The sequence below is a fragment of the Homo sapiens genome, chromosome 13 (assembly GCF_000001405.40).
Source record: "Homo sapiens chromosome 13, GRCh38.p14 Primary Assembly".
Classification (NCBI taxonomy): Eukaryota; Metazoa; Chordata; class Mammalia; order Primates; family Hominidae; genus Homo; species Homo sapiens.
In genome coordinates this window covers 38,964,441-38,991,870 of record NC_000013.11, presented here as the reverse complement: position 1 = coordinate 38,991,870, position 27,430 = coordinate 38,964,441, and the positions used below count along the sequence as shown (strand labels likewise).

The window sequence follows — 27,430 nt, the reverse complement described above, 5'->3', positions numbered from 1 at the left end:
TGGGCATGGTGGCTCATATCTACAATCCCAGCAGTTTGGGAGACCAAGGCTGAAGGATCATTTGAGCCCAGAGTTTGAGACCAGCCTGGGCAATATAGTGAGGCCCCATCTCTAAAAAAAAAAAAAATTAAAAATTAGCCAGGTATGGTGGTGTGCACCTGGAGTCCCAGCTGTTGAAGAGGCTGAGGTAGGAAGATTGCTTGAGCCTGGCAGGTCGAGATTGCAGTGAGCTGTGATTGTGCCACTGCACTCCAGCCTGGGCAACAGAGTGAAATCCTATCTCAAAAAAAAAAAAAAAAAAAAGAAAGCAACAAAAGGACATACTGTGTTCCAATAACACTTTATGTTTTAAAAACAAGTGGTAAATTAAATTTAGCTGGCAAGCTAAAGTTTGTCAATTCTTGGTCTAGAAGAAGAAACAGACACAAGCCAAAAAATTATGCATATGATAACACGTGCAAAGATCCGGTGGCGAGAAGACATATCAAGCTTTGGAGGCACTGATAGGAGACCAATGGAGCTGCTTCACGGAGAGACACATGAGTGAGGCTGGAAAGGGAGGAAGGGGCAGGCCAGCAGGGTCTTGTAGGACACTTAGGAGTTTGGTCTTTACAATATTGACAGTTGGCAATTTTTTGATTATTTTAAGCAGGATGAAGACATGATCAGATTTGAGTTTCAAAAGCTCACTCACTGCAGTGTTAGAATGAGTTGGGTTAAATTTTCTCATCTGAAACATAAGGATGGATACACTTGCCCTGTGTATTGAACAGGTCATTGTGTAATCAGTGATCACACAAGATTTATACAAGGTGCATAGAAGTGTTTTATGAAATATAAATGCTATAGAAAATTACACAGCAATATTTTACAGGAAGCAATACCACCAGATGGTCATATTCTTTCAAGTTTTTTCTGTGAACAAAGGCAGTCTGAACTCATAAAAGAAATCTTTTTGTTTATGTTATCAGGCTTCCCTCACCAGGGTAACTACCCCTTAGGGAGTTCACTAAAGAGAAGGAATGTCTTTCACTCTCTCATACTTTCTCCTCTCCCCTCTCCCAAGCACATCTGAGTTGCTGCCTGTTCTTCACACTTAGCTCCAAACCCATGAAAAATTGCCAAGTATAAAAGCTTCTCAAGAATGAGATGGATTCTAGGGTGTCTTCACCTGAGAAGCAAGATAAAGAGAATTTCGTGGGTAAGTTCCTTTTTCCTGTCTTAGGCTTGTTTTTTACATATATGGCAAAGCAGGAGTTGTAGCATTATAGACAGGTATAGAGTAAGTATGAGATATATTTGCAGAAATCGGCCTCAATTTCATTTATAGCCCAGGATTTTGAATTCATTGCTTATGCTGATTTCATTTGCTTCTTGAACGGCAGTCTATAACTTGCTTTATTTTTCCTTCAATTTTAGATAAAGTTGGTGTTTATCTTTGAATTTCTTCTTTCTGTATGAAATCCTTCTCAGGATTTTGAATTCATTGCTTATGCTGATTTCATTTGCTTCTTGAACAGCAGTCTATAACTTGCTTTATTTTTCATTCAATTTTAGATAGAATTGGTGTTTATCTTTGTATTTCTTCTTTTTGTATTAAATAACAAAGATATGTTGAAGAGGCTGACTTTTCTCCAACTTCAAACATTTTCTGATGATGCTGAGATTAAAAAGAAAAGTTGGTTTGAGCTGTATCCTGTTTGATAAATGGAGAGAAGTTGAGAAAAAAAACTTAGCTTATAAGTACCAACTACTATCATTAATACTAATGACTATTATGTGTTACAAAGCATTTTGCTTGCATTATCTCTTTCAATTTTACAATAATTCTGAGGTAGATCCTCTTAGAATCTCATTTTACAAATGAGAAAACTGAGCATTGGAAAGTTTAAAAAGTTGTTCAGAAAGTGATTATGATGATGGTGTGCGTGTGTGTGTGTGTGATGATGGTGTGAGTGTGCGTGTGTGTATGACCTAACCTGTGCTCTGTACCTTATGTTGCCAAAAAAGCCATAGTACATGTTAGAAATAGAGAACACGTTTGGCATTACTAATACATAAAAGAAAAAACTAGGCTGCATGCACTGGTGCATGCCCTGTAATCGCAGCACTTTGGAAGGCCAAGGCAGGCAGATCACTTGAGCTCAGGAGTTCGAGACCAGCCTGGGCAAAATGGCAAAAACTCATCTCTACAAAAAATACAAAATTTAGCCAGGTGTGGTGGCACATGCCTGTGGCTAAGTGGGAGGTTGAGGTGGGAGGATTGCTTGAGCCCAGGAGGTTTAGGCTTCAGTGAGCTGAGATTGCACCACTGTACTCCAGCCTGGGTGACAGAGTGAGACCCTGCCTAACAAAGAAAAAAAAATGGAATAAAGAAAGAAAAAAGAAAAAGTATACATTTAGAGACATTTACCTGAATTGGAAAAGAAACTTTTCTTTTGAAGTAGGCATGAAAAGCTTGAAGGCAGTAAATATCATCTGGAAATGCAAGCGGGAGATCTCAAGAGTCCCCTTATTTATCCTTCATGAGACATTTAGTTTCCATTTTAACAGGTGAAGACATCAACTGGGTAGATGGCATGACTGAAGCTGTATCATCAGTGAGATTCTTGAAAGTACTCATGAGTTTTCTTGGTTTCGATATTTGAATATGAAAAACTGGCACTATCACAGAATGAACAAAATGGGGCTGATATATTTGCAATGTCTGATTTCCTGTGCTTTTGTAGTTTTTTAGGAGAGATACAGTGTGGACCATTCTCTGAGATCTGTGGACTAAGTTTGCCCTTGCAACTCAGATATATATAAAAAATATATATAATACAATATAACATATATAACATATATCTTATATAATATAGTATATAATGTATGATATATATTATGTAATATAGTATATATAATATATTGTGTAATATAGTATATATAATATATTGTATAATATAGTATATATATTATGTATTCTATAGTATAGTATATAATATGTAATAATATATATTATATAATACAGCATATATAATATATATTATGTATTATAGTATATATAATTATATATACTATATACTATAATATATAACTTGTAATATGTACTTATGAATACTTGATATACCTGACAGCACATAAGTGGCAAATATGTTTTTCCAGTTGTCACTTATTTTTTCACCTTTTTAATGATGTGTTTGATATCAAATATATAAAATTTCAATATATAATATATATAAAATATATGATATAAAATATAATATATTATATATAAAATATATGATATATAATATATTATATATAAAATATATGATATAAAATATATTATATATAAAATATATGATATAAAATATATTATATATAAAATATATGATATAAAATATATTATATATAAAATATATGATATAAAATATATTATATATAAAATATATGATATAAAATATAATATATTTTATATAAAATATATGATATAAAATATCATATATTTTATATAAAATATATGATATAAAATATAATATATTATATAAAATATATGATATAAAATATAATATATTATATATAAAATATAATATATTATATATAAAATATATGATATAAAATATAATATATTTTATATATAATATATGATATAAAATATAATATATTATATATAAAATATATGATATAAAATATCATATATTTTATATGAAATATAATATATTTTATATAAAATATAATATATTATATATAAAATATATGATATAAAATATATGATATAAAATATAATATATAAAATATATGATATAAAATATAACATATTATATATAAAATATATGATATAAAATATAATATATTATATATAAAATATATGATATAAAATATAATATATTATATATAAAATATATGATATAAAATATAATATATTATATATAACATATAATATATTATATAAAATATAATATATTATATATAACATAATATATTATATAAAATATAATATATTATATATAACATAATATATTATATAAAATATAATATATTATATATAACATATAATATATTATATAAAATATAATATATTATATAAAATATAATATATTATATATAAAATATAATATATAATATATACACAATAGTATATATTATATAATATACATACTATATATTTTATATATATTTAGTTATATGAATTAATATATATAATATATAATATATAATTAGTATATATAATATATATTAAAAATCTTAATATATATATTAAGGCAATGTTATTCAGTCCTGTAAGCATTACAGACATTTGTCTTCACAAATGGTGAGGAAATTATTTAATATATAAATAACTGAGCCCTTGTTATCCTTTCCAGCAGGAACATTATGTGGGAGTGTGCTGCTGGCACACTTTATTTATTTTATTTTTAGAGATGGGGTCTTGCTCTGTCGCCCAGGCTAGAGTGGAGTGGTGCAATCTCAGCTCACTGCAACCTCAGCCTCCTGAGTAGCTGGGACTACAGGCATGCGCCACCATGGCTGGCTAATTTTTGTATTTTTTTGTAGAAATCAGGTTTCATCATATTGCCCAGGCTGGTCTCGAACTTTTGGGCTCAAGTGATCCTCCAGCCTCAGCCTCCCAAAGTGCTAGGATTACAGGCATGAGCCACTGTGCCAGGCCTGGACCAGCTTTTGAAAGCCACTTGTGTGCATGTGTTTCTAACTCCAAGCTCATGACCTCACAAGGGTAGATTAGAATCACCTGAAGGGGTAGGTGATATTTACACAGTGGAAATGGTATAAATTAAGGCTTTCTTCCTTTCCCCAAGGGTCCAATTTTTAGACATTTATTATCACATCACTATTAATGGCTTTGACATTCTCTTCTGCCCCCCTTTTATTCTTTTTTGATTTGTTTTGTCTTCTAAGAGTTAAAGTGAATTGGAATCTAGATCACAGAAATCTTAGATGCTCTTCTCAAAATTAACATGCAAAAGAATCTTCCTGGGGAGCTCCTTAAAATACAGATTCCTAGCCCCTACCCCCAGAAGCTCTGGTATTTAGTCTGTGTCTCTTCTGGGCTTAAGATTTTGCATCCAAACCAGCTCCTGTGAGCTGGTTTAGCTGCCAGGCTAAGAGAGCATTTTGAGTAGGACTATATTCCTTTTCAGCAATTCTGCACTTTCCTTAAAAGTGTTCCTTAATGCAAGCTGTGTGCATAGAGAAAAAGGAAGGAGGGAAGATGAATTACAGGGGATGAAAAGATAATGTTTACCCCTCGTGTTTTCCTTTAGATTTCATCTTTGATGATCAAAGTCCTTCATTCTCTACAGAGAGAACCAGAAATTTGCTAAAGTTCTATTTGCTGACTGTATCTTCACAGGATTGGAAGTGAACATAGAAAGGGAGATAGAATGGTTAACACTCATCCCCAAGCTCAGGAAAGGGGATTGTTCTCATTCCACATACTTCTAATTTTTCCTCTGGGAAGCATCTGGTCTTCCCTGCTTTGATAACACAAAGCACTTCCTTTTTGTAAAACTTGACATGATAATTTTAAATTTTACTTTTAAAAATGGTAAATATAGGCTAGGTATAGTGGCTCATGCCTGCAATCTCAGCACTTTGGGAGGCCGAGGCAGGTGGATCACCTGAGGTCAGGAGTTTGAGACCAGCCTGTCCAACATGGTGAAACCTTGTTTCTACCAAAAATAAAAAAATTAGCTGGGTGTGGTGGTGCCGTTCTGTTATCCCTGCTACTGGGAGGGAGGAGAATCACTTGAACCTGGAAGGCAGAGGTTGCAGTGACTCGAGATCATGTCCAGGGGCAACAGAGTGAGACTCCATTTCAAAAAACAAACAAACCAAAAAAAAAAAAAAAAAAAACCAGGTAAATATGTCAAAGAAAACTTAGAACAATGAAAACCACTTATACTTCCATTATTTAGAAATAGCCGCTGGGGGAAAGAGCAAGACTCTCTCTCAAACAAAAAAAAAAAAAAAAAAAAAAGAAAGAAAAGAAAAAAAAAAAAGAAATAGCCACTGTTAATATTTTGGTTAATATTCTTCCAAAATTTTTTCTATTCTATATATATACTTCTATATACTTGTGATTCTACTGTCCCTATAATTTTGCATCTTACTGTTTGTTTCTTCTAACATCATACCATAATTATTTTCTCATGCTTTTATAAACTTAAAAATATATACATAATATGACATTGTGTAGATATATCATAATTTGCTTAATTATCCCTCCATTGTTATATTTTCAGGGTGGTTTTCATTTACCACTGTTATAAATAACATTGTAATGGGACTTTGGACATAAATCTCAAGGACGAAGTATTTTTATTTGTTGTTGTTGGCAGTGCTGTTATTTCAAACAGAGAGAACTGAAAGCATGGGAGAATGGGGAGAAAGAAGAATGATAAGATGATGCAAGGAAAACATTTTTTCTTTATTTGCTTCTTCTTTTTTTAAATTTTTTTTTGAGACAAAGTCTCTCTCTCGCTCTGTTTCCCAGGCTGGAATGCAGTAGCGCGATCTCGGCTCATTGCAAACTCTGCCTCCCGGTTTCAAGTGATTGACCCACCTCAGCCTTTTGAGCAGCTGGGATTACAGGAGTATGCCACCACACCCAGCTAATTTTTGTATTGTTAGTAGAGATGGGTTTCACCATGTTGGCCAGGCTGGTCTTGGACTCCTGACCTCAGGTAATCCACCTGCCTTGGCCTCCCAAAGTGCTGGGATTACAGGCATGAGCCACCGTGCCCTGCCCTATTTTCTTCTTGAAATGATGTGTGAGTGAGGGTACAGTCAGGCGGAATGTATGGAGAAAAATGCAAGGACATATGGTTCTTTGGTTAATTGACTTTTTTGAGAGAAAATAGAATCTTGTCTGATGAACCATGATTTCTATACAAGGACTTTCCAACAGATCAGTAAATCTATTATGTTGCTGAACATCACCCTCATCCTGTACTTCAAAGTACTTAAAAGTATGCACTGCATCCATTCAGCATCCTCTGTGAAGCAGGAGGTGCAGACAAAAAATAAAATACCTGCATTCAGAGCACTAAAAATTTACAGGGAAGACACAAAAGTTAGCTACAAATTACAAGGTCCTATAAAAAAAGTTATGATAGAGGGTGTACAATCATGTACTGCTTAACAATGAGGATACATTCTGAGAAATACGTTGTCAGGTGATTTTGTCATTGTGAGAACATCATAGAGTGTACCTACAGAAACTTCAGTGGTACAGCCTACTGTACACCTGGGCTATAGGGTACAGCCTCTGGCTCCTAGGCTACACACCTGTACAGCATGTCACTGTACTGAATACTGTAAGCAGTTGTAACACTATGGTAAGTATTTGTATATCTAAACATAGAAAAGGTACAATAAAAACACACTATTATAATCTTATGGGACCACCATCGTATATATGGTCCATCATTGACTGAAACATCATTACGTGGTATGTGACTGTATTAGAAACTCAAAAGAGGAGCACCCAAAGGTGAGGGTGACAGAGAAAAATCTTCCTGGAAAAGAAGGGGATGTTTGAGCTGAGGCCTGCTGAGGAAAATGTGGGATGCAGAAGGGGGCTGAGGAACACAAAGACCTGTGCAAAGGGACAAGATGTGTGAGGACCTAGGTTACTTTCTCTACTGTAGGGGGTATTCATGTGATGTTAGCACATGGCTTGACTCCTTCATCTGGATCACCTAGACCCACACTGAAAGACCATCAAAAGTCCTGCTACTTGAAAAACAAATGACGAATGTAGGAAGAGCCCGTGTGTGAAGCCTGGGCTCTGAGTGGCAGCCTTGTGGTTGTGGCTGTGTTGGGGTGATGGTGATGGTATTCAGCATGAGGAAGCTGCTGTGGGGGGGGATGCCTCCAGGGCCTGAAGAAGGATGCTCAAAGGGACTTTGATTTTGTTGGCAAGGTGTATATTCTTAAGCCAAATGGTGGGTTTAAGGTATTCAATGCATTATTTTTACACCTTTTTGAATGTTCACTTTCAAAATAATGCCTTAAGTATTTTTTAAGAAAAGAAAAGAGAGAAAGCAAATGGTAAAAGGGAACATACAGTAGATAATGTGTTGTAAACTTCATGCAACTACTGAGCACAAATCATCCTTCTGGAGTTGAAATGTAAATCTGCCTGTTTGGAAACCTCTTAGGATTATGGAATTTTGTATTCATAGGACTAGCGTAGATAATAAGATCATCATCCAGCTCTAATTTACTAATTCTTCACTAAAGACCTGATATTTCTATATTTTTCTCAAGGTTCCAAGGGTTATCTGAAGGAGCTTATAATGTCAGTGGCCAGATTAGCCAGTAGAAGCCCTCAAGGGTCTAGAGCTTTTATTACATAATCTTGAAAATTTAGCTCTTGCATATATAGAGAAACCATTATCTAGATGGACCAGAACATCCACAATTGATATTTAGAATCCGATTTGGTAAAAGAAAAAAATGGAACAAAATAAAGTGTACATTTTCAAAGCAAAAACTGTACTGAACAAAGTTAAATGGCCAAGGAAGACTTTATTCAAAGCTATTGCAATGGAGGAGAGAGGCCAGAACTCAGTCTGAGCTCAACTCTACTGAAGCAAGGGGTGGTAGGGTTTTTAAAGGCTGGAGTGAGCTACTGGAAGAGTACTGGAATCCCTGAGGGGGAGGTCATAAGCCATCTAGTGTATTTTGTATATCTTTATGACGTGACAAAAATGATGAGACAGGTCTCAGTCATTTTAGGAGGTTTATTTGTCAAAGTTTATGCCTTTCTCTGAAGATGATTTTGAGGGCACTGAATTTAAAGAGGAAAGAGTGGGGTATTGAGAAGTACACAATTTTCATGTAACAGAGGGATAGGGGAAAATAGTCACTCATGCCTGTGTCTGGCTCTGTGAATCTGAATTTTTATATAAGGTAACAGACAGATAGGGGAAAATTCAGGGAATCTGCATTTTATATAAGGTGACAAAGATAAATGGGACAGGGAACAATTAGATGTGCATTTGTGCCAGGTGGACAGAGGGGTGATGCAATTGTAAAGATAAGCTATCCATTTACATTGCTATGGTGAATTTTAACAGAAATGCTTTAGGGTAAACATCTTGGAGCTCACTAGGAATTTCCTTGTGGGCAAAAATATGAGGGAGATGTGTAGCTTTTCAACTTGTAACCATCTTATTTAGGAACCAAAAAGCGAAGGCAGGTTTTTGTGACCCAGTACCCAGTTTGATGTTTCCCTTTGGCTTAATGAGTTTGGGGTCCCAAGATTTATTTTCTTTTCACAAGAAAATAACAAGTATTATCTGAAACAAGGTAGTTTCACAACTCGGAGAAAGGTGCCCACTGAAGTTAGGCTTTTACTTCCAACAGAAACTGATAGATAGGGGTGCTATTTTCTTTGATGTTTATATTCCAAAGGTTAGCTCCCGAGACCTTGAGAAATTTAGTCCTGGGTTGTGAAACTGGCAAGAAGCTTTTCAAAAGATTTAAATCTCAAAGAGGCAGAGAAAGAGTTTATATAAGCTAGTATATCCCATTAATGAAACAATAAAAAATAAACATATTTTAAAAACAAAGAAAAAAGAATTTATAATGACAATTTTGTTTTTGTTGTTTTTTGTTTTATTATTATTATTTTTTTTTTAAAGAAAATGCCCTAAGAAAAGGGAGATTAGGGGCCTAGGGTCAGGAAGAAGCCCGTCTAAAATTTAGTCAAGCTGAGATTTGCTTTAAGGTTTTGTGCCCACTATTATATCTCTGAGATTCATCCATATTTTACATACAGCCGTAGTTTTGTCTTTTTTTCTTGCTGAGTAATATTCCTTTGAATATGAATACACCACAACTTCATTTATCCATTCTACTGTTGATGGATTTGGGCAAACTTCATATCTTGGCTTCTGTGAATAAAATGGCAATGAACATTGTTGAACATATTTTTCTTTATCATCAGTAGTCATTGCTCTCAGGTATTAGTTGGAAGTTGAATACTGAGTCATAAAGTAGATACATGTTTAGCTTTAGTAGACACTTCCAAATAGTTTTTGAGGTGATTGTACCAACTTAACTTCCAACAGCACATATGAGTACTCTAGTTGCTCCTCAACCTTGCTAAACATGGTATTGCCAGTCTTTAATGTTTACTATTCTGGTAGCTGCGTACTGGAATCTTACGGTGGTTTTGACTTTCATTTTTTTGATGTGTAATGTACATCATCCTATTCTGATTGTTTAAAATCATGTCATAATACTTAACAGTTATTTCTGCTAAGAAACTAAGAGACTATTTATGATAACACAGATTTGTGATAAAATATTGTAGGTAGTATTGATCTAATATTTAAATACTCTTGACCAAGCTGAAGTTGAGAAATAAGCAAGCAAGTCACCTAGGCTGTTTTATTTACTATAATTCATTTCTGTTTCTAATATAATTTAAGTTGGGCTAGTGATACAGAACATTCTCTCCTACTTCCTGGCTCACACAAGTAGCCAATCTTGCCTTGAGTGTTGGGCCCTGGTCCTAAAGGGTATTTAATCTCCTCTGGTGTAAACAGCTGTATCTAAGCACCAGGAATAATGCCCTGGGGATGTGCCTCCACCGATAAACCTTGGCTTTGCCTCACTCCCTAAGTCAGTAAAGGTAGACACGCACCACTGTCTGTTTGTGGAATTTGTGGGTGTCACCTTACTTAATGAGAGATTAAGATGATGGTGGCAACACTAAACCAGGAAGTTTTCTGGTTGCAAGATGAAGAGTTGGCTTTGGTTACCTCTAAAGTCCTTCCAGCTGAAGTTCATGGGTGCCTCTCTTCTTGTCAGTGGCTCTGGGCCTCAGCTTCCATAGCTGATGGCTCTACCTTTTTCTTTGCAGATTGAAAGGAAGGTATTGATTAAATATTTTGCTGCTGTTGTCACAGCCACACACAGGGGGAAGTCTCCACATATTTCACCAGCTGCAGACTTCCTAGAAGTAAGTGCAGCAGAGTAATTAACCTAGTATCTGTTGTTTCTATTGTTTCTGTAACTGCCCGAGGGATTCTTCCTGCCAGCTGCATAAAGAAAGACCAAGGCATTGTAATAGAGGCATGTTTCCCATTTTATTCTCCAGCACAGCGTTTGGCATAGAACTGATAACATATTTGTTAAATGAATGATGAAACCAAGGGCAATTTGTTTGGGGCAGCAAAATCCAGTTTTCTACTAGGAAGTAGGCATATGACATGGCTTTATGGTTATGCGACAACTGTCCAGAGAATACACACATTTGTGGATTTGGTTCAAACAGATGATCAAATGTGGTCATCACTTAGTGACCAAAAAGGTGTTGTGCAGCCCCTTTTTCTTCCATCATCCCCTCAGAGCCTTGTATAGCTTGAAGTAGGGCGATTTCTGAAGAACTCTGTATTTAATAATACAATCCCAGCATATCCTTTCAGTCAGAATTGTAATCTTCAAAAACTGTTCTCAGTATAGCATCCTAGTTTCAACTGTGGGAGTGAGTGGGGAGAGAGAAAGGCTGCCAGGAAGAGTTACTCTGTGTGGTCTCATTCCCAGCTGTGCATGCTCACAAGGCTGAGCTGGGAGCCTGCAGGGAAGGTGACAGCAGCACTCACAGCCCCACTTTAACTGGCAGCTAATGAGACCCCCAGGCTCCACCAATTCTCCCAGAAGCCGCGGCCTGGGTGATTCTAATGCTCCAGTGTAAATCTTGGAAGAATAGTCACATTCTCTTCTCTTGTCTCTCTCAGCACGTCTATTACCTAATGGAGCTGAGCCTCATGTGCACGTGTAATGATGCAAGGGCTTGATGAACTCCAGAGGCGAGCTTGTAGGTCAGTGCGATTTTCTCTGTGACAAACACTTGCTTGTGCAGCTGGTGTTAAGGCTGTGTCTACTTTGGAAATGTCCAGGGCTTGGCTCCAGGCATTAAGCACAGCTGGTGTCCTGTTGGAGTCCCAGCTGCCTGCGTGTGCTGTGCTGCTAGTCATAGCCCCAGAACAGCCCAAGGTTTCTGAACACCAAATATTTCAGTGCCGGGAGGGAGGAAACACACCAAACATGACAGGAACTGTGCTGCCTTCACAATACTTTTACCAAGATTTTATAAAGATGCATATTAGCCCAGTGAGACATATATAAGCACAGTTATTACAGCCTTGTCTGTATAGGCAAAATTGCAAATAACCTTAATGATCAATAGGAGAATGGTAAGTAAACTGAGACACAGGTGTAAGATGGCATAGTACGCAACAATAAAGAAGAGTGAGGTAGATGAGTAGGTAATGCCATGGAAATCTATACACCATATATTAAGTTAAAGTAGAAAGGTGGGTACAGTGTAATGCCATTATCACAAAATAAAATTTACAAATCAAAGCCAGTGTTTTCTAAATGTAGATATATGTATGTAAATACATAGGAGTGGGTCTATAGAGAATGCACACCAAACCGGTAACTACAGAACTTCTCTAGATAAAAGTGGGACTGAGGAGAGGATGGTTCAGGGAACTTTAGTTGTGTTACTTGAATTTTTTTTTCCAATGAGAATGTATATCTATAGGCTCTGTCATGAATACTAAAAAAGCACTAATAAAATTTGACAAAGATTCTATGAGAATGCATAAAGTGTCTTTCCATCTTGTGTAATGATAGTCTGATTCACCTCCATGTGGGTCCAAAGCTTTGGGAGGTGATATTTTAGAAATTTAAATTTCAGAGTATTCAGGCAAGCCCTTATTGTTCAGAATATGTATGTATTTGGAGCATATAAAAGGCCATTTGTACTCAAAAGGTTTTAATACAAAATATGTATCTAAAATGTAGTTATTTTCACCTATCAGAAAGTAACGACTGAGAAGGTTGAAATGATTTAAGGAGAAAAGGACATGTGGGAATAAGCACTTCTATGCTGTTGGTGAGCGTGGAGGTTGGTACAAACTTTTTGAAAGGCATTTATCATCTATCAAAATTGTATGACCTAACAGTTCTACTACCAGGGATTTATCCTACACAAGTGCACAAAAACACACATTTAAAAACATTCATCAAAACATCGCTTATAAGAGCAAAAACCCAGAATTCTCCTAAATATTCATGAATTTGGCTCAGGTCTCAAAAAATTAGTAGGAGTAAAATGGGTAACTGGGGATGGATTTGAGGTAGTATCATTTAGGTTTAGTGACTTTCTGCAACTGGATAGGGAAGAGGCAATGATGACCTGCCTAACCTGGGCAAAGGGGTGGATGGTGAAGGCATTAACTGAGATAGACAGTATATGGCGTTTGTAGGGTGAGCTGGCTGGGGATATCTAGTCCTAGTGCTTGTGTATGGAGAATATAAATCAGCTGGAGGAGATCATGGGATGCGAATGGGGTTGGTTGTCAAGGAGAAGGGAATAAGGAGGAACAAGGATTTAAAAGGAGGCAAAATGGGCCAGGTGCAGTGGCTCATGCCTGTAATCCCAGCACTTTGGGAGGCCAAGGCAGGAGAATCACTTGAGGTCAGGAGTTCGACACCAGCCTGGCCAACATGGCGAAACCCCGTCTCTACTAAAAATACAAAAATTAGCCAGGCGTGGTGGCAGGTGCCTGTAATCCCAGGTACTCAGGAGACTGAGGCAGGAGAATTACTTGAACCTGGGAGATGGAAGTTGCAGTGAGCCGAGATTGCGCCACTGCACTCCAGCCTGGGCGACAGAATGAGACTCTGTCTCAAAAAAATAAAAATAAAAGTAAAAATAATTAAAGGAGATAAAATGGTGACTATAAAGAATTCTAAATTAAAAGGGTCAGCCAGACCTGCTTATTTTACAAACAAGGATCCCTGGCCGGGCGCGGTGGCTCACGCCTGTAATCCCAGAACTTTGGGAGGCTGAGGCGGGCAGATCACAAGGTTAGGAGATTGACACCATCCTGGCTAACATGGTGAATCCTCGCCTCTACTAAAAGAGACAAAAAATTAGCCAGGTGTGGTGGCGGGAGCCTGTAGTCCCAGCTACTCGGGAGGCTGAGGCAGGAGAATGGCGCGAACCCGGGAGGCGGAGCTTGCAGTGAGCCAAGAGCGCGCCACTGTACTCCAGCCTGGGCGACAGAGCGAGACTCCGTCTCAAAAAAAAAAAAAAAAAAAAAAAAAAATCCGGAGACTTCAGAAATTATATAATTGATGTAAGTAAAGCTACAGAGTTTTAGGTGGCTGAAGTAGGATTTTAACTCAGTCTCATCTTATTGCAAAGCAATATTCATTAAGCCAAAATGCACCTGCTATCATAATGTGTGATTAGCGAGAAGAGATCTTATGTGATGAGCCAACATAACAAAACTTTTATGAAAAGTTAGAAAGGGCAAATATCAACATCTGACAACAAGTCCCTGGAATACATATTCATCTGGAAATGGGAATAAAAGTAGAATACCTGTTTAAAACTGTAAATGTTAATGTATGGCCCAGGAGCCATATAAAAGTAATCTTATTTAATCCTCATCAAATTCTCTAAGGCGGGTAACTTCTAGCCCCATTCTACAGATGAAGAAACAGAAACCCAGAGACTGAGTGGTCTTCTATCCTAATGCTTTAGAATTGGTAAGTGACAGAGCTCACATAAAAACTCATACCTCAGGATTTTGCAGGATATTTTTCCATGTACCACATTGTCTCCCTCTGGGGATAATAGTACTTACCTACCTGCCTTAAAGGGTGCTTTGAATTTTACCTCGAGAATTCACAGGACCCAGACATCTGATGATTCTGGTGTGGACGGTCCAGAGATTACATTTTGAGAACCACTGTTTATGTGTTTTGAGAATAATAAACCATGGCAGCCCTATAAAATGTAATAATAATTATTTCTGTTTATTGTTATGATATTTTTCTTGGAAGGAATAAGTCAATTTTAATTTTTAAAAACCTGAATAAACATTTGAATGTATGTACGTGTGTGTGACTACATCCATGGTGTAAATGGATTTAGGTTTTCTATGCAGCCACATCAGGCTTGGCCAGCTGTCTGGATAGGTTCCACACCCATGCAGCTGGGTGGCTTTTTTAATAACCACATTGATCACATATTTGCTTCCTTCTCATTTCCTAGGTGTCAACAATAAACGGCTTGGTGTATGTGGCTGGATCCTGTTTTCCCTCTCTTTCCTGTTGGTGATCATTACCTTCCCCATCTCCATATGGATGTGCTTGAAGGTAACACCCTGGGAAATAAACTGGGCTATCTATATGAACTGACAAACCATTAGGACTAAACGTTCGCCCTTAATCTCCTAGATCATTAAGGAGTATGAACGTGCTGTTGTATTCCGTCTGGGACGCATCCAAGCTGACAAAGCCAAGGGGCCAGGTATGAATGACGCGGTGGCTGCCCCTGAAAGATCAGGGACACCTAATACTACTGCTACCACCTTCAATATTTTTCCTGGTGGTGCCTATTGAGAGTCAAAGAAAAATTGCTAGAAGCTGGGGCTCTTGCCTTTTGGTACAACAGAAGAATGCCACCTTTTAATGCAAGTCAGTGGGAATGACCACCAGTTTGAGAGTTTGGAAATCTGGCCCGGCCTCCTAAGTCTCCCTCTGAGAGATTCAGTGAATGTGAGCAAAGGGTGGCTCTGGTTACATTGGCTGAATGTCACTTATTACCAGGGCCACCAGGAGAATGTGGGAAGAATAAGAGGCAAAGTAAATGGCCAACGCACACTATTAAGTTACTCAAGGAGAGTATATTGAGAGCTGGTGTTTGATGCTCACTCTTTGAAAAGGGCTAATGGAAAAGCAAAAGGTAATTTCCTCTCATGGCAAGTAGACACATAGAAAGATAGAGCTGGAAGCCATTGTACGGCGCCTTTGGCCAAATCCCTTGGTTTTGAAAACAAAGAACATGAGGCCAACATAAGTTTGATGAGTTGTCTAAGATTATTCTTACAGTTAGAAATAAAGATGAGTTTTCAGGCCTTCTAACATCTAGTATAGTATAGTGTTTATTTCCATCCTTTCTTTACCACCTTGAAAAAGAAAATATTCCAAATAGTCATGTTTTAAAAGAAGGTGGTTTTATTTCTTTGTTTGTTTTTTGTTTTTGCCCGGGGTTGGGGTGGATACTAAAACTATAAGGTACTAAAACTCCCCGAAGTAAGATATTGATTTAATACTCATAACTTCTCTGAGCATATATCTAGTTGAACCATAGGAAATTGCTAAATTTGTTTTGACTCCCAAATATGGCAATTTCATGGGATTAATTCTAATACTCTGGAAATGAGGGGCTATCAAAAGCACTGTCTTAGAAGGCATATGAAAAGCAATTGTTACTAGCTATATTTCTCTGATAACATTTGCTTTCTGCCCCCATTATGGCTTATTTGAATAAATTGTTCTCTCTGCGACTGGAAGGTCTCGGGGTAGGAACTTTCCTGAGCACCACGATGCTCTATGTGCTTTGCCCTTGGCCATAAGCCATGGATCTGTTAATATATAAAAAAATTATGGGAAACTTCAAGAGGAGAAGCTTGTGAAGGAGGCTTCTTGGCTTTCCTTCTTTTTTTTGTTTTTCTTTTTTTTTTTCTGAGACAGAGTCTCGCTCTGTCGCCCAGGCTGGAGTGCAGTGGCGTGATCTCGGCTCACTGCAACCTCTGCCTTCCAGGTTCAAGTGATTTTCTCACCTTAGCCTCCCGAGTAGCTGGGATTACAGGCACCCACTATCATAAGCGGCTAATTTTTGTAGAGATGGGGTTTCACCATGTTGGCCTGACTGGTCTTGAACTCCTGACCTCAGGTGATCCGCCCGTCTCGACCTCTCAAAGTGCTGGGATTACAAGCATGAGCCACCACGCCCAGCAGCCATTTCAAGTATAATCTTACTTGTCTAATTTCATAAAGGACCTAAGAAAAAGAAGGTAAAAACTACTTATAGATGTTCTTGTGAGTTTGGCAAAGCAAGAGTCATTCAACTGAGGTATAACAGCCCAGGATTAACTTCCTCCTGGTTGTGTTCCACCTGGTGGGGCTAAGATTATAAGTTAAAATAAAATTGGATCCAAGAGAAGCAGAACAGACAGAACTTGGAGGCCTCTAGAGAAAAATATACCATTTTTAAATGAATTTTCCCCTAAGATTTCACTATTAAATGTCTCAGGATAACAACTCTCGTCATACGTGTCTCTGGGGTTAATGAGTTACCTCAGCATGTCATAAGGACAAGAGGGAAACAAGCCAAATTGCTAATGGAAAACCTCTCCACTTTCATAAATTGTAAATTATTCTTGAATAATAACTGACACTTCATGAGCATTTAATACATACCTGGCACTGTATTTAGTACTTTATTTCATCATGATGTTGAATCATGCTTAATCTTCACTACCAGCTTATATATATTAGGTAACCGAAGTGTTAGGTGAGTTTTCCCTGGTCACAAGGCTACTAGGTAGTAGGTTGGGACTTAACTCTGTCTAGTTCTCAGGTCCATGATCTTAACCACAGTGACCTGGCACCAAAAATGGAAGTAAGGTTTAGAGGCCAAAAGAAAGAAAGCACTTCACCAAACACTGTGTAAAGGGGTGGTGATACTGCCACCCCTTTACACGGTGTTTGGCCCCAGAACTGGTTTCTGCTGTGAAAACAAAAACAATAATGCAAAGCCTTTTTGATTAATGGAAATATATTAGTGTCCCCATCTTGCTGACATTCCTTGTGGTTCTAATCTTTGTAGCTCTCACAGTAAAGAACAACATTCACCAGGTTAATGTTAAGAGTTCCCAGGGTCCTTAAATGAACTTTCTTATGCCCATCCTTCCCTGACCCAGCTCCAACTTAATGCCTCACAAATCAGAAAGAAGTAGATGTGTTTACAGCAGGAGAATGCTATTGTACATGAATTAGATCATGGCTGTGGATAAACTATTAACTCTGGAATACATTGATTTAGAGGAATGTGAGACCCTGGGAAGATTTTAATTCAATAATCCTTCATTACTATTTAAATTGACTGAGAATGTTGGCAGTCACTGATATTCAAAGCCAAATCTATTACTTGAATCTGTTACATAAGTATCTTTATTATAAGAAAACTACTTTCCAAAATATTTTATTTTTTTGGTGCAGTATTTTAGAGCAAATACAGAATACCAGATCATGTCATTTTTCCTCTAAACACTTTAGTCTGTATATCTAGCTGATAAGAACTTTATTAACACCATGCTGCTTTGGTCTGAGTATTTGTGTCCCCCCAAAATTCATAGGTTGAACCCAATCAGCAGTGTAATGATATTAGGAGGTGAGGACCCTGGGAGGTAATTAGATCATAAGGGAATCACCCTCACGAGTGGAATTAGTGGCCTTGTAAAGGAAGTCTCAGGGAGCTGTCATGTCCCTCCCAGGACACCACATGACCATCTATAAATCTGGAAATGGGCCCTCACAAGACACTGCATCTATGAGCATCTTGATCTTGGACTTCCCAGGCTGCAGAACTATATGAAATAAACTTCTGTTGTTTATAAGCCACCCAGTTTATGGTATTTTGTTACAGCAGCCTGAACAGACTAAGACATATGCCATTATCACAACCAGTACAATGAACAAGAACACCTTAATTTTTTTTTTTTGACAGAGTTTTGCTTTTGTTGCCCAGGCTGGAGTGCAGTGGCACGATCTTGGCTCACTGCAACCTTTGCCTCCTGGGTTCAAGCAATTCTTCTGCTTCAGCCTCCCGAGTAGCTGGGATTACAGGCATGTGTGACCATGCCCAGATAATTTTTTTTTTTTTTTTTTTTTTTTTTTTTTTTTTTTAGTAGAGACGGGGCTTCACCATGTTGGCCAGGCTGGTCTTGAACTCCTGACCTCAGGTGATCTGCCTGCCTCGGCCTCCCAGAGTGCTGGGATTACAGGCGTGAGCCACCGCGCCCAGCCTTAACATCTTTTAATATGCATTCTGTGTTCAAATTTTCCACTTGTCCCAAAGATGCTTTTCACAATTGGTCAGAATATTATTTTTAGTTAATGTCCAATTAAACACTTGGATAGAAGTAGATTGTTTTAAAAATAAAAACCAAAAATTAAATGTCAGGGATCTTTAGCTTCTTACCAAAAGACTTCACTTCGCAGGCAATTACTTTTCTTTAGTCACTGACCTAGAGGATGAAATCATTTTCCTCAGAGTTTCATGTGTGCATATTGAGGATCATCTGAGAAACATGTATCGCCCCATGTAAATGATGCACTATGCTGCTATGAGACTACTTGTAGTTATTTTCAACAGAGCAACATTTTAAACTGATTTTTTCTCTCATAGGTTTGATCCTGGTCCTGCCATGCATAGATGTGTTTGTCAAAGTTGACCTCCGAACAGTTACTTGCAACATTCCTCCACAAGAGGTAGTACTGATTAAGGATATGTCACTCGAAATTAAACTTGTATTTTCTCTATTATAAGGACAATTACAATTTTATAGTTCACTTTTAAACTATAGGAGGGAAGATGAGCTGAGTACCCGCAGAGACCTGCTTGAATTGCCCTTCCTTGGTGGCTCCCAAAACTACAAAGAATGTGTTTTGCCAAATGAGAATGAAGCCAAGAGCAAGGGCTGAATTGCTAGAAGACTTAGAATGGCCTGGTGTGAGAAAGCCTGACAGCAGAGATCTAGTTAGCAGGGAAGCTGGGATGGAGAATGACAGAGCAGAGGCTTGGAAGAGACAGACAGTCACTGTATGAAGGAGCTGAATTGAATCTGACAGAGGGCAGATGGAAGGCAGTGGCTGGTTTTGATACCACCCTCTCTATCACCTTCTCAGAATTTTTTGTAATATCCACATGAGTCACATTTGCTTCTGACTTTAAATTATTTCTGTGTTTGGATGCAATAGAGGGGGCAGGCATAAGGACAGAGGAGAGGCTGTACAGGGCCCACTTGTGTTTGTATTTTGCGTAAGTCTTTTTTTTGTTTGTTTGTTTTTTTCTTTTGAGACAGAGTTTCACTCTTGTCGCCCAGGCTGGAGTGCAGTGGTGCAATCTCGGCTCATTGCAACCTCTACCTCCCGGGTTCAAGTGATTCTCCTGCCTCAGCCTCCCAAGTAGCTGGGATTACAGGTGCCTGTCACCACGCCCAGCTAATTTTTGTATTTTTAGTGGAGACAGGGTTTCACCATGTTGGCCAGACTGGTCTCTCGAACTCCTGACCTCAGGTAATCTGCCTGCTTCGGCCTCCCAAAGTGCAGGCATAAAAGGCCTGAGCCACTGCACCCAGCCCACATAAGTCTTTTAATTCTTGAAGTACTACAAGTAAATAACCAAAATAGTAACTCAGCAATAGGGAAGAGGAATAGAGTTACCAATTATCATATCACCCTCTCATAACCAAAGTGGTTCAGGTTAGAGGAAGAGAAATTCAGGACCTACGATATGGGAGGGCAATGGTGATAAGAAGACGAAAATCAACATTTATAAATATATGTTAATTTTCTTCTGTCTGGTTCAGGAAACTCAACCAGGACTCAAACATGATGTCTTCATGTCACTTAGGAACTGCAGAATACTTACTTTTGAATTCAGCCCCAGGTCAGACATGGTGGCTCACGCCTGTAATCATAGCACTTTGAGAGGCTGAGGCAGGAGGATTACTTAAGGTCAGGAGTTCAAGACCAGCCTGGCCAACATGGCGAAACCTCATCTCTACTAAAAATACAAAAATTAGCTGGGCATGGTGGCATGCACCTGTAATCCCAGCTACTCAGGAGACTGAGGCAGGAGAGTCACTTGCACCTGGGAGACGGAGGTTGCAGTGAGCAGAGATTGCGCCACTGCAGTCCAGCCTGGGTGACGGAGCCAAACTCCATCTCAAAAAAAAAAAAGAAAGAATTCAGCTGCAGTCAGGAGAGGTTGGGATGCTTAGTGACCTACAGTAGGGACTTTTCTAGCTCTGTAATGGACAGTTCTAGGTTCTGCTTCCATAGTATACCCAGAAATCTCTCATTTGCTCCAAAACATCCTGTCACATTATTCAGAATGATTGATGCTGAGCCTCTCCATAGAGCGAAATCGATTTTTCTTTACATGGTCTCTGGTGCCATCTATGTTTTCTAAGAATCACTGCTTCAAGTCTGATAAAAACTGAAAAGAAAAAAGAGTACAGGTATCAGGGAAACAAGTGTTCTACTTCTGCTTAGAAGACTGAAGATAATAGAATGACACAAGGGCTGTACTGTTAACATTTAAAATGGAAGGGCCTGTTCTTAGCATGTCAAGTCAAGGGTTTCTGCCTATAGGATGTAAAAGCTTCTTAAAGATGAAGTCACAGGGGTAGGTATGATGACATCTTTAGAGGAATTGCGTATCAGCTGGGAAGATATTCTATCCAAGCCAGGACAGGTTTTAGGTGACTGTAGCATGAGTTGTCGTTACTGCTCTCCTTCTGTGGAGGATGGCTCTTGGGCTGGCTGTCACTTTGTCAGTAGTGGTGAAAGTCATAAATAAGTGATTTTGCCCTGTTCTTACTCCACAGATCCTCACCAGAGACTCCGTAACTACTCAGGTAGATGGAGTTGTCTATTACAGAATCTATAGTGCTGTCTCAGCAGTGGCTAATGTCAACGATGTCCATCAAGCAACATTTCTGCTGGCTCAAACCACTCTGAGAAATGTCTTAGGGACACAGACCTTGTCCCAGATCTTAGCTGGACGAGAAGAGATCGCCCATAGCATCCAGGTAAAGACACCATGAACTAATAGCCTGTATCTTTAACTTGTTAATTTTAATTATCAGTGATTATTAAATGTCAGCAGTTCAAAGCATCCCCCACCACATGCATGCTTGCACACACTCACACACAGACAACTGCTCTAGAGGTGAGCTTCAGTTGTGATTTCACTTACCTGTTACTGCAAGAAATATATTTAAATATCTGAGTGCAAGAAAGCAGTTGCTGAAAATGTGCTCCTTATCCATTTTCTTTGGAATTCAAACTTATGAATTAACGTCTTACAAGTATAGTCTTTTTTGAAGAAGTTAGAGATCAGATTTATTTTTAGGTTAGATTATTCCAGAAGTGCAGCCATTTCTCAGGTAGCCTATATATTTAAATAAAGTGTGAAAGTTAAATTCAATTGAGACAGCATAGACCTATCATCTCTAGAAATTCTTACACCATGCCACCAATATCACTAATAACATTAATAGTAATGATAATTATGATATCAATAAAGAGGTAACAGCTATCGATCTCATCTCTCACACACACGAGTTTATGGACAAGAATACTTCTGTATTTTCTTAGATGAATTACATTTGGGTTCTGAGCTTCCTTTCTGTAAGTCAATTATATAAAGAAATTCAGCTTTGGTTCTTCTTGGCCTCTCCTCTAGTCCCTACAGTAGAGGAAAGGTCCCAAGCTTTTATAAGGCAGTAGGAGTTCTGCATGATAATTCTCCATATTGTTTATATGTGCCCCACGAATTTAACAACTCAAAGGTATCCCATCCACAGCCAGGTCACTGACTTCTTGTGAGGTCTCAGTATCTCAGGTGTCATATCCTGCAGGGATCACAGAAAGGCAAGGGAGGGATCACTGCCCCCACCTCTTTAGGGGAGCTATCCTTTTGATCCTACCATTTCTCAAGACACTCATCTTCTCCAGGATGACCAGCAAGATATCTTCAATGGTTTTAAGCTTTTACGAAAGACAAGAGTATCTTTGACTTTAGGCTGCTTCTGCCTTGAAAAATATGCCTTGCTTCTTTAAAGCTGGCCATAGAGCAGAAGTTAAACAGAGCGAGATAAATAATATCTCAAAAAGGACCCAATAATAATATGCATTGAGTCATTGCTGGGTACTGAGAGATATCTTATATGTATTGTCTCCATATCTAATAACAGTCCTGAAAGAAAACCTTTTATAGGTAAGAAAACTGAGAGCCAGATAAGTTAAGAAACTGTCCCTATGATTCACAACTGCAAATGGCAGAGCCAAAGCAAAATCCAGGTCTGTCTGAGAAACCCGTTCATTGCTGCCTGCTTGATACCAGGTACAAGCACATTTGGGATATTTTCTCAAATCTAGATGGATCTCATATACCTCCTTGGGATTGGTTTTGGGGTAGATCCTGCTGATAGACACCCACTAAAAGGTCTGCCAGATTTAATTCCTGAATTCTTAAAGAGATTCACTTTAAATTCCAAAAAATGATCAATAAGAATATTAACTCTTATTCTCTTCCTAAATTGTCTCACTCCAAATGCTGTAAATGCAAAAGAAAAAGAAAAAAAAGAAAAATGTATCTTGAAAGTATAAAACATATCAGAAACATACATCATATCACCTGTCTTTCTTATTAGTCTTCCCTTTTAATTTGGAAACAGACTTTACTTGATGATGCCACCGAACTGTGGGGGATCCGGGTGGCCCGAGTGGAAATCAAAGATGTTCGGATTCCCGTGCAGTTGCAGAGATCCATGGCAGCCGAGGCTGAGGCCACCCGGGAAGCGAGAGCCAAGGTAAGTGTTGTGCAGTTCACACATGGAGGGAGAACTGCCTAGTGTTGGGGCCAACAAGGATAGGACTTGAACAGAAGATTGGGTCTGTCAATTATTTGCATGAGAAAGGGGTTTCTTTTCACAGTTTTACTGAGAATTTTCCCTGAATTAAAAGGTAACCAGCAGCTTACTGTACCTTGAGGAAGTTTGGTAGCAGGTCTTGGGTTAAGAGGATGCTCAGTAACGTACTGAGCAACTTAGCCAAGTAGGTCCCAACTCTAGCCGCATATCAGTGTTCCCTGGGGAGAATTTAACAAAACAAAACAAAATACCAATTTCCAAGCCTTACTTCAAACCCAGGCTTGAAGCAGTCTTGAGTGGGCTAAGAAACCTCTATTTTCATAAAGCTGGTGACTTAGATGTAGCCAACATGGAACCTGTCTTTTGCGCATTGTTGTTCTTGTATATTAAACGTTGCTGGAATAAAAGGGGGCAATTAAATACAATCCAGGTAAGAATTACAAAATGTAAGTGCACCCTGGCTCTGAATGTCCTTGAAATCTGTTGAGATTCTGACTTTCATGCCTGTGTGGATAACTTTCCTGAAGTATCAGAAATCTACTGGGATCCCAAGCCTTTGTGTATCCTCTTTGGAAACTTACTTGTTAGCTGATGAAGGTGTTTCTTTGACTCAAATCTGGTTTATCTGCTAAGCTCCAGCAGCTTCCAGGAAGGGACTCGGCAATGATAGAAGAGAGATCACTTTTGCACACAGGCAGATGGCCACAGATGAGGCAGCTGAATCACTCCTGGACAGTCTGAGAGCTATAAAGAGTGATGTACTTAAGAGATTGCCAGTGTTACAAGGCTGGCACTTATTGCTGCTTGTAATCAAGAGCCAAGAGAACTAGAAACAATTCTCGGTTTGTAAGAATGACACCAAAGTGGCAACAGAATGAACTTAAAAACATCTAAGATAACTAAAAATGATAAAAACATCAGTTAGAGGCCTTAAATTTCAGACTTCTCTGGAAATGAATGCAGCAAGTAGTGAGGCTCCAAAGTGCTTCCAGGCATTATTAGGGTAGATGCCAAGTATTCATTTGTATTCAAGAGAGTACTTTTATTTTTGTTTGATGATAAAATCTAGGGACCTACGATTTGTACAATATCCCTCCTTGCTTCCTGCAACCTCCTTGAATTTCTCTAATTATGTTAGGAAGTGAAACTTATCCTCGCCAAAGAAGTAGATGAAACACATGTGGCAACATGGGGGCTGGGGAGAGGGGTATCAATACAGACCCAGAAAAAGAAAGAACTAGTTATAGTGTAAACTTTTATTTCTGAACGATTTTATTTCTGTCATTTCAGGTCCTTGCAGCTGAAGGAGAAATGAATGCTTCCAAATCCCTGAAGTCAGCCTCCATGGTGCTGGCTGAGTCTCCCATAGCTCTCCAGCTGCGCTACCTGCAGACCTTGAGCACGGTAGCCACCGAGAAGAATTCTACGATTGTGTTTCCTCTGCCCATGAATATACTAGAGGGCATTGGTGGCGTCAGCTATGATAACCACAAGAAGCTTCCAAATAAAGCCTGAGGTCCTCTTGCGGTAGTCAGCTATTGCATAGAGAGTGGTGTCTATTCCTATGGAGAAGCCAGTAGTTAGAAACGGTGAGAATTCCAACACTGTTCATGTAACAGTAACTCCATAGATGGAAGAGCATTGGCAGGAAAAAGCTCTAGAGGCTATACAGAGAAGAAAAAAAGAGCAAAAATGAGACCTGTATATTACTTTTATTTTTAGGACCATAATCAACTTTGTAATATTCTTATATAATTAATTAGTGGTGGTCTCCGACTTTATAGCAGGAACTTTCTGGTAGTATGAGAAGAAATCATTGGGTGACTATGACTAATGTTTCAGAATTACTTTTTAATTGTTTTAAAAAGCACTCCAGATAATTTATAGAGTAACATAGGCCTCATATTTACACTATATGTTCGCTTTATAATTCCGAAGTTGTTATTTGCTAAATCTCCAATGGTTGCAATCAAACCCCACAATGCTGAAAACAGAGATTGATTTTGATGTTAAGAACAAAAGAAGTATGGAAACTTCCAGGCTCAAACATGTCCCCCGTGCCACAAGGCAAACTGCGATGAGCTCACAGTCCAGGTCTCTTGCTGTGTGTCCTGCAGGGAGTGGCCAACTCTCCACCTTCCAGCACCATTATCAGAGGGTGGGAAAAGGCACATGAAAGTGGCCAGCTCCTGTCAATTTATTTGCTTACAAGGGAGAATGCTTGGAAAGGTTGCATTGGTTGAAACCACTGAGGAGCATCACCCTGGGGATTTCATGTTTTCACTCTGTTCTTAGTCCCAGGAGCCACAGGTAATCGAGAATGTTTGTGAACTCTATCCACATCCCCTCCCCCACCTGCCAAATAACCTGTTCAAAACAAAGAAGGCATAGAATATAAATGAATTTCAAAAGTTACTTTTTGGGAGGTTATTTCGTTGCCATGGTGCAATTTCTTTTTGGAATCAGTTTTGAGAAATGGGCTAGAATTTTTAAAAGTTATTATTTATGGATCGTCTTTGTGTTACACTGTGCTTAGCCCTTTAGGGATGCCACAAAATATCTTTATTTTACAGATAAGGAAGTGATATTATGAGGCTAAATAATGTGGCCAAGATTCCCCAGCTAGTGAGTGTTGGATTAAGATAGAAAACCATGTCTCAGTCCAAAGTCCTTGCTCCTAAACATCATCAAGTTTTATTTTGAGGAAGTGTGAGCCAAGGAGAGAGAGCACTCTAGTTCCTTTTTGCTGTCAACACCAAACTTTTAGGTTCTGGAAGTCCAGGCACCTACTGTAGTGTCCAGGACTACATGTGCATGCACACATATGTGTATGTGTGAGCACACCATTCCCACGTGCTTCATGCTCCTTTTCACACTCCACACATACCCTCCATATAACCTCCCCACCCTCACATCCTCCACCTCTGCTCCCATCCCCTCCCTGTCCTTATCACACACATCCTTTCGACACATAGGCATCAGCTACATAGTGCAAAATGGGGATCACGCTCTATCTTTGTTTCATAACCCTCCCCCAACCCCAAGAAACCGTATGATTTTTGGACAATCCACAGCTTCTGAATCTAGTGCTTGATCCTACTGACTTGATGACTCCAGCACTCATGTTTAACCCACTAAGGCTCATACATTTTCATTATTTACTAAGAACTTGCCTTTTAACAGGGATTGAGGACTTAGGGACATAGGCAGAAACCTAAGATAGGTCACCCACATCAGCCAGAATCTGAGTCCATGAAGTTATGCTATTTAGACACTTAACTGATAGCCCTTACATCTTCACAACAATGACACAGGTTCAACCCAGGCCAGGGCACCTCCGACACTGAGAGCCATGCGAGAAGGAGGCTCTGCTTATACAAGGACATCTTGGTGGCCCACTGCAAAAATCTCTTTTTAGCCTTGTTCCAGAAGTCTAGAGTTATTCCTTTTTTTTGGTTTCAGTGATTTGCATTAAAAATGCAAATCTTTCCTGGCAATGTACATCAAACTGTAAACTAGTGGTTCTTGCTGGAGGTAAACATTGTCTCACTCATTTAGAACCTCTTTTTTAAAATGTACAACCTGCTTGCATCCCTGTGGATTGGCAATGGGGGTATGAGAGCTGTATCAGAATATTTGAGGCTGTGGGAAATGCAGTTTGAAAACTTCCTGGGAAATTCAAATTATTCCACCTCCTCCAGTACAAAGCTTCATTAATTCTTTAGCATTATAATAAATCACTTACTGCCTTAGTTACTAAAGGCTGACTAAAGAAGGCTCCTATGAAGGTGAGTATATTTTGTGGCCAAGGGTCTGGAGAAGAATCAAGAAAGGGTCAGAGTTCTTCTGGAATGTGAATGCCAAGGCTGATATTCAAAACACAGTCATATGCACCTCTA

General features: G+C 38.5%; 1 protein-coding gene across 3 annotated transcripts, besides 1 other annotated feature; it reads left to right on the top strand.

Annotated features, from left to right (window-relative positions):
• Window positions 1-1,039: 1,039 nt before the first annotated feature.
• STOML3 (stomatin like 3) lies at window positions 1,040-25,946 on the top strand. 3 transcript variants are annotated; one of them, NM_001144033.2, is made up of 8 exons: window positions 1,040-1,201; window positions 11,736-11,819; window positions 15,074-15,177; window positions 15,259-15,331; window positions 19,277-19,359; window positions 21,483-21,686; window positions 23,337-23,471; window positions 24,822-25,946. In NM_001144033.2, exons 2-8 carry the CDS (start codon window positions 11,795-11,797, stop codon window positions 25,044-25,046), a joined length of 849 nt encoding a protein of 282 aa, NP_001137505.1. In that variant the 5' UTR covers window positions 1,040-1,201; window positions 11,736-11,794; the 3' UTR covers window positions 25,047-25,946. The 3 variants fall into 3 exon arrangements, with proteins under 3 accessions (NP_001137505.1, NP_660329.1, XP_016875889.1); NM_145286.3 differs by lacking the exon at window positions 11,736-11,819; XM_017020400.1 differs by lacking the exons at window positions 1,040-1,201; window positions 11,736-11,819; window positions 15,259-15,331 and having other exon boundaries at window positions 15,103-15,177.
• Window positions 26,987-27,156: an enhancer, noted in NCBI's record as "experimental_32870 CRE fragment used in MPRA reporter constructs". NCBI's record gives its function as "activates a minimal promoter by MPRAs in K562 erythroleukemia cells, with activity observed for the introgressed 13:39538937 variant allele {active_cell/tissue: K562}" and the evidence as "EXISTENCE:reporter gene assay evidence [ECO:0000049][PMID:34662402]".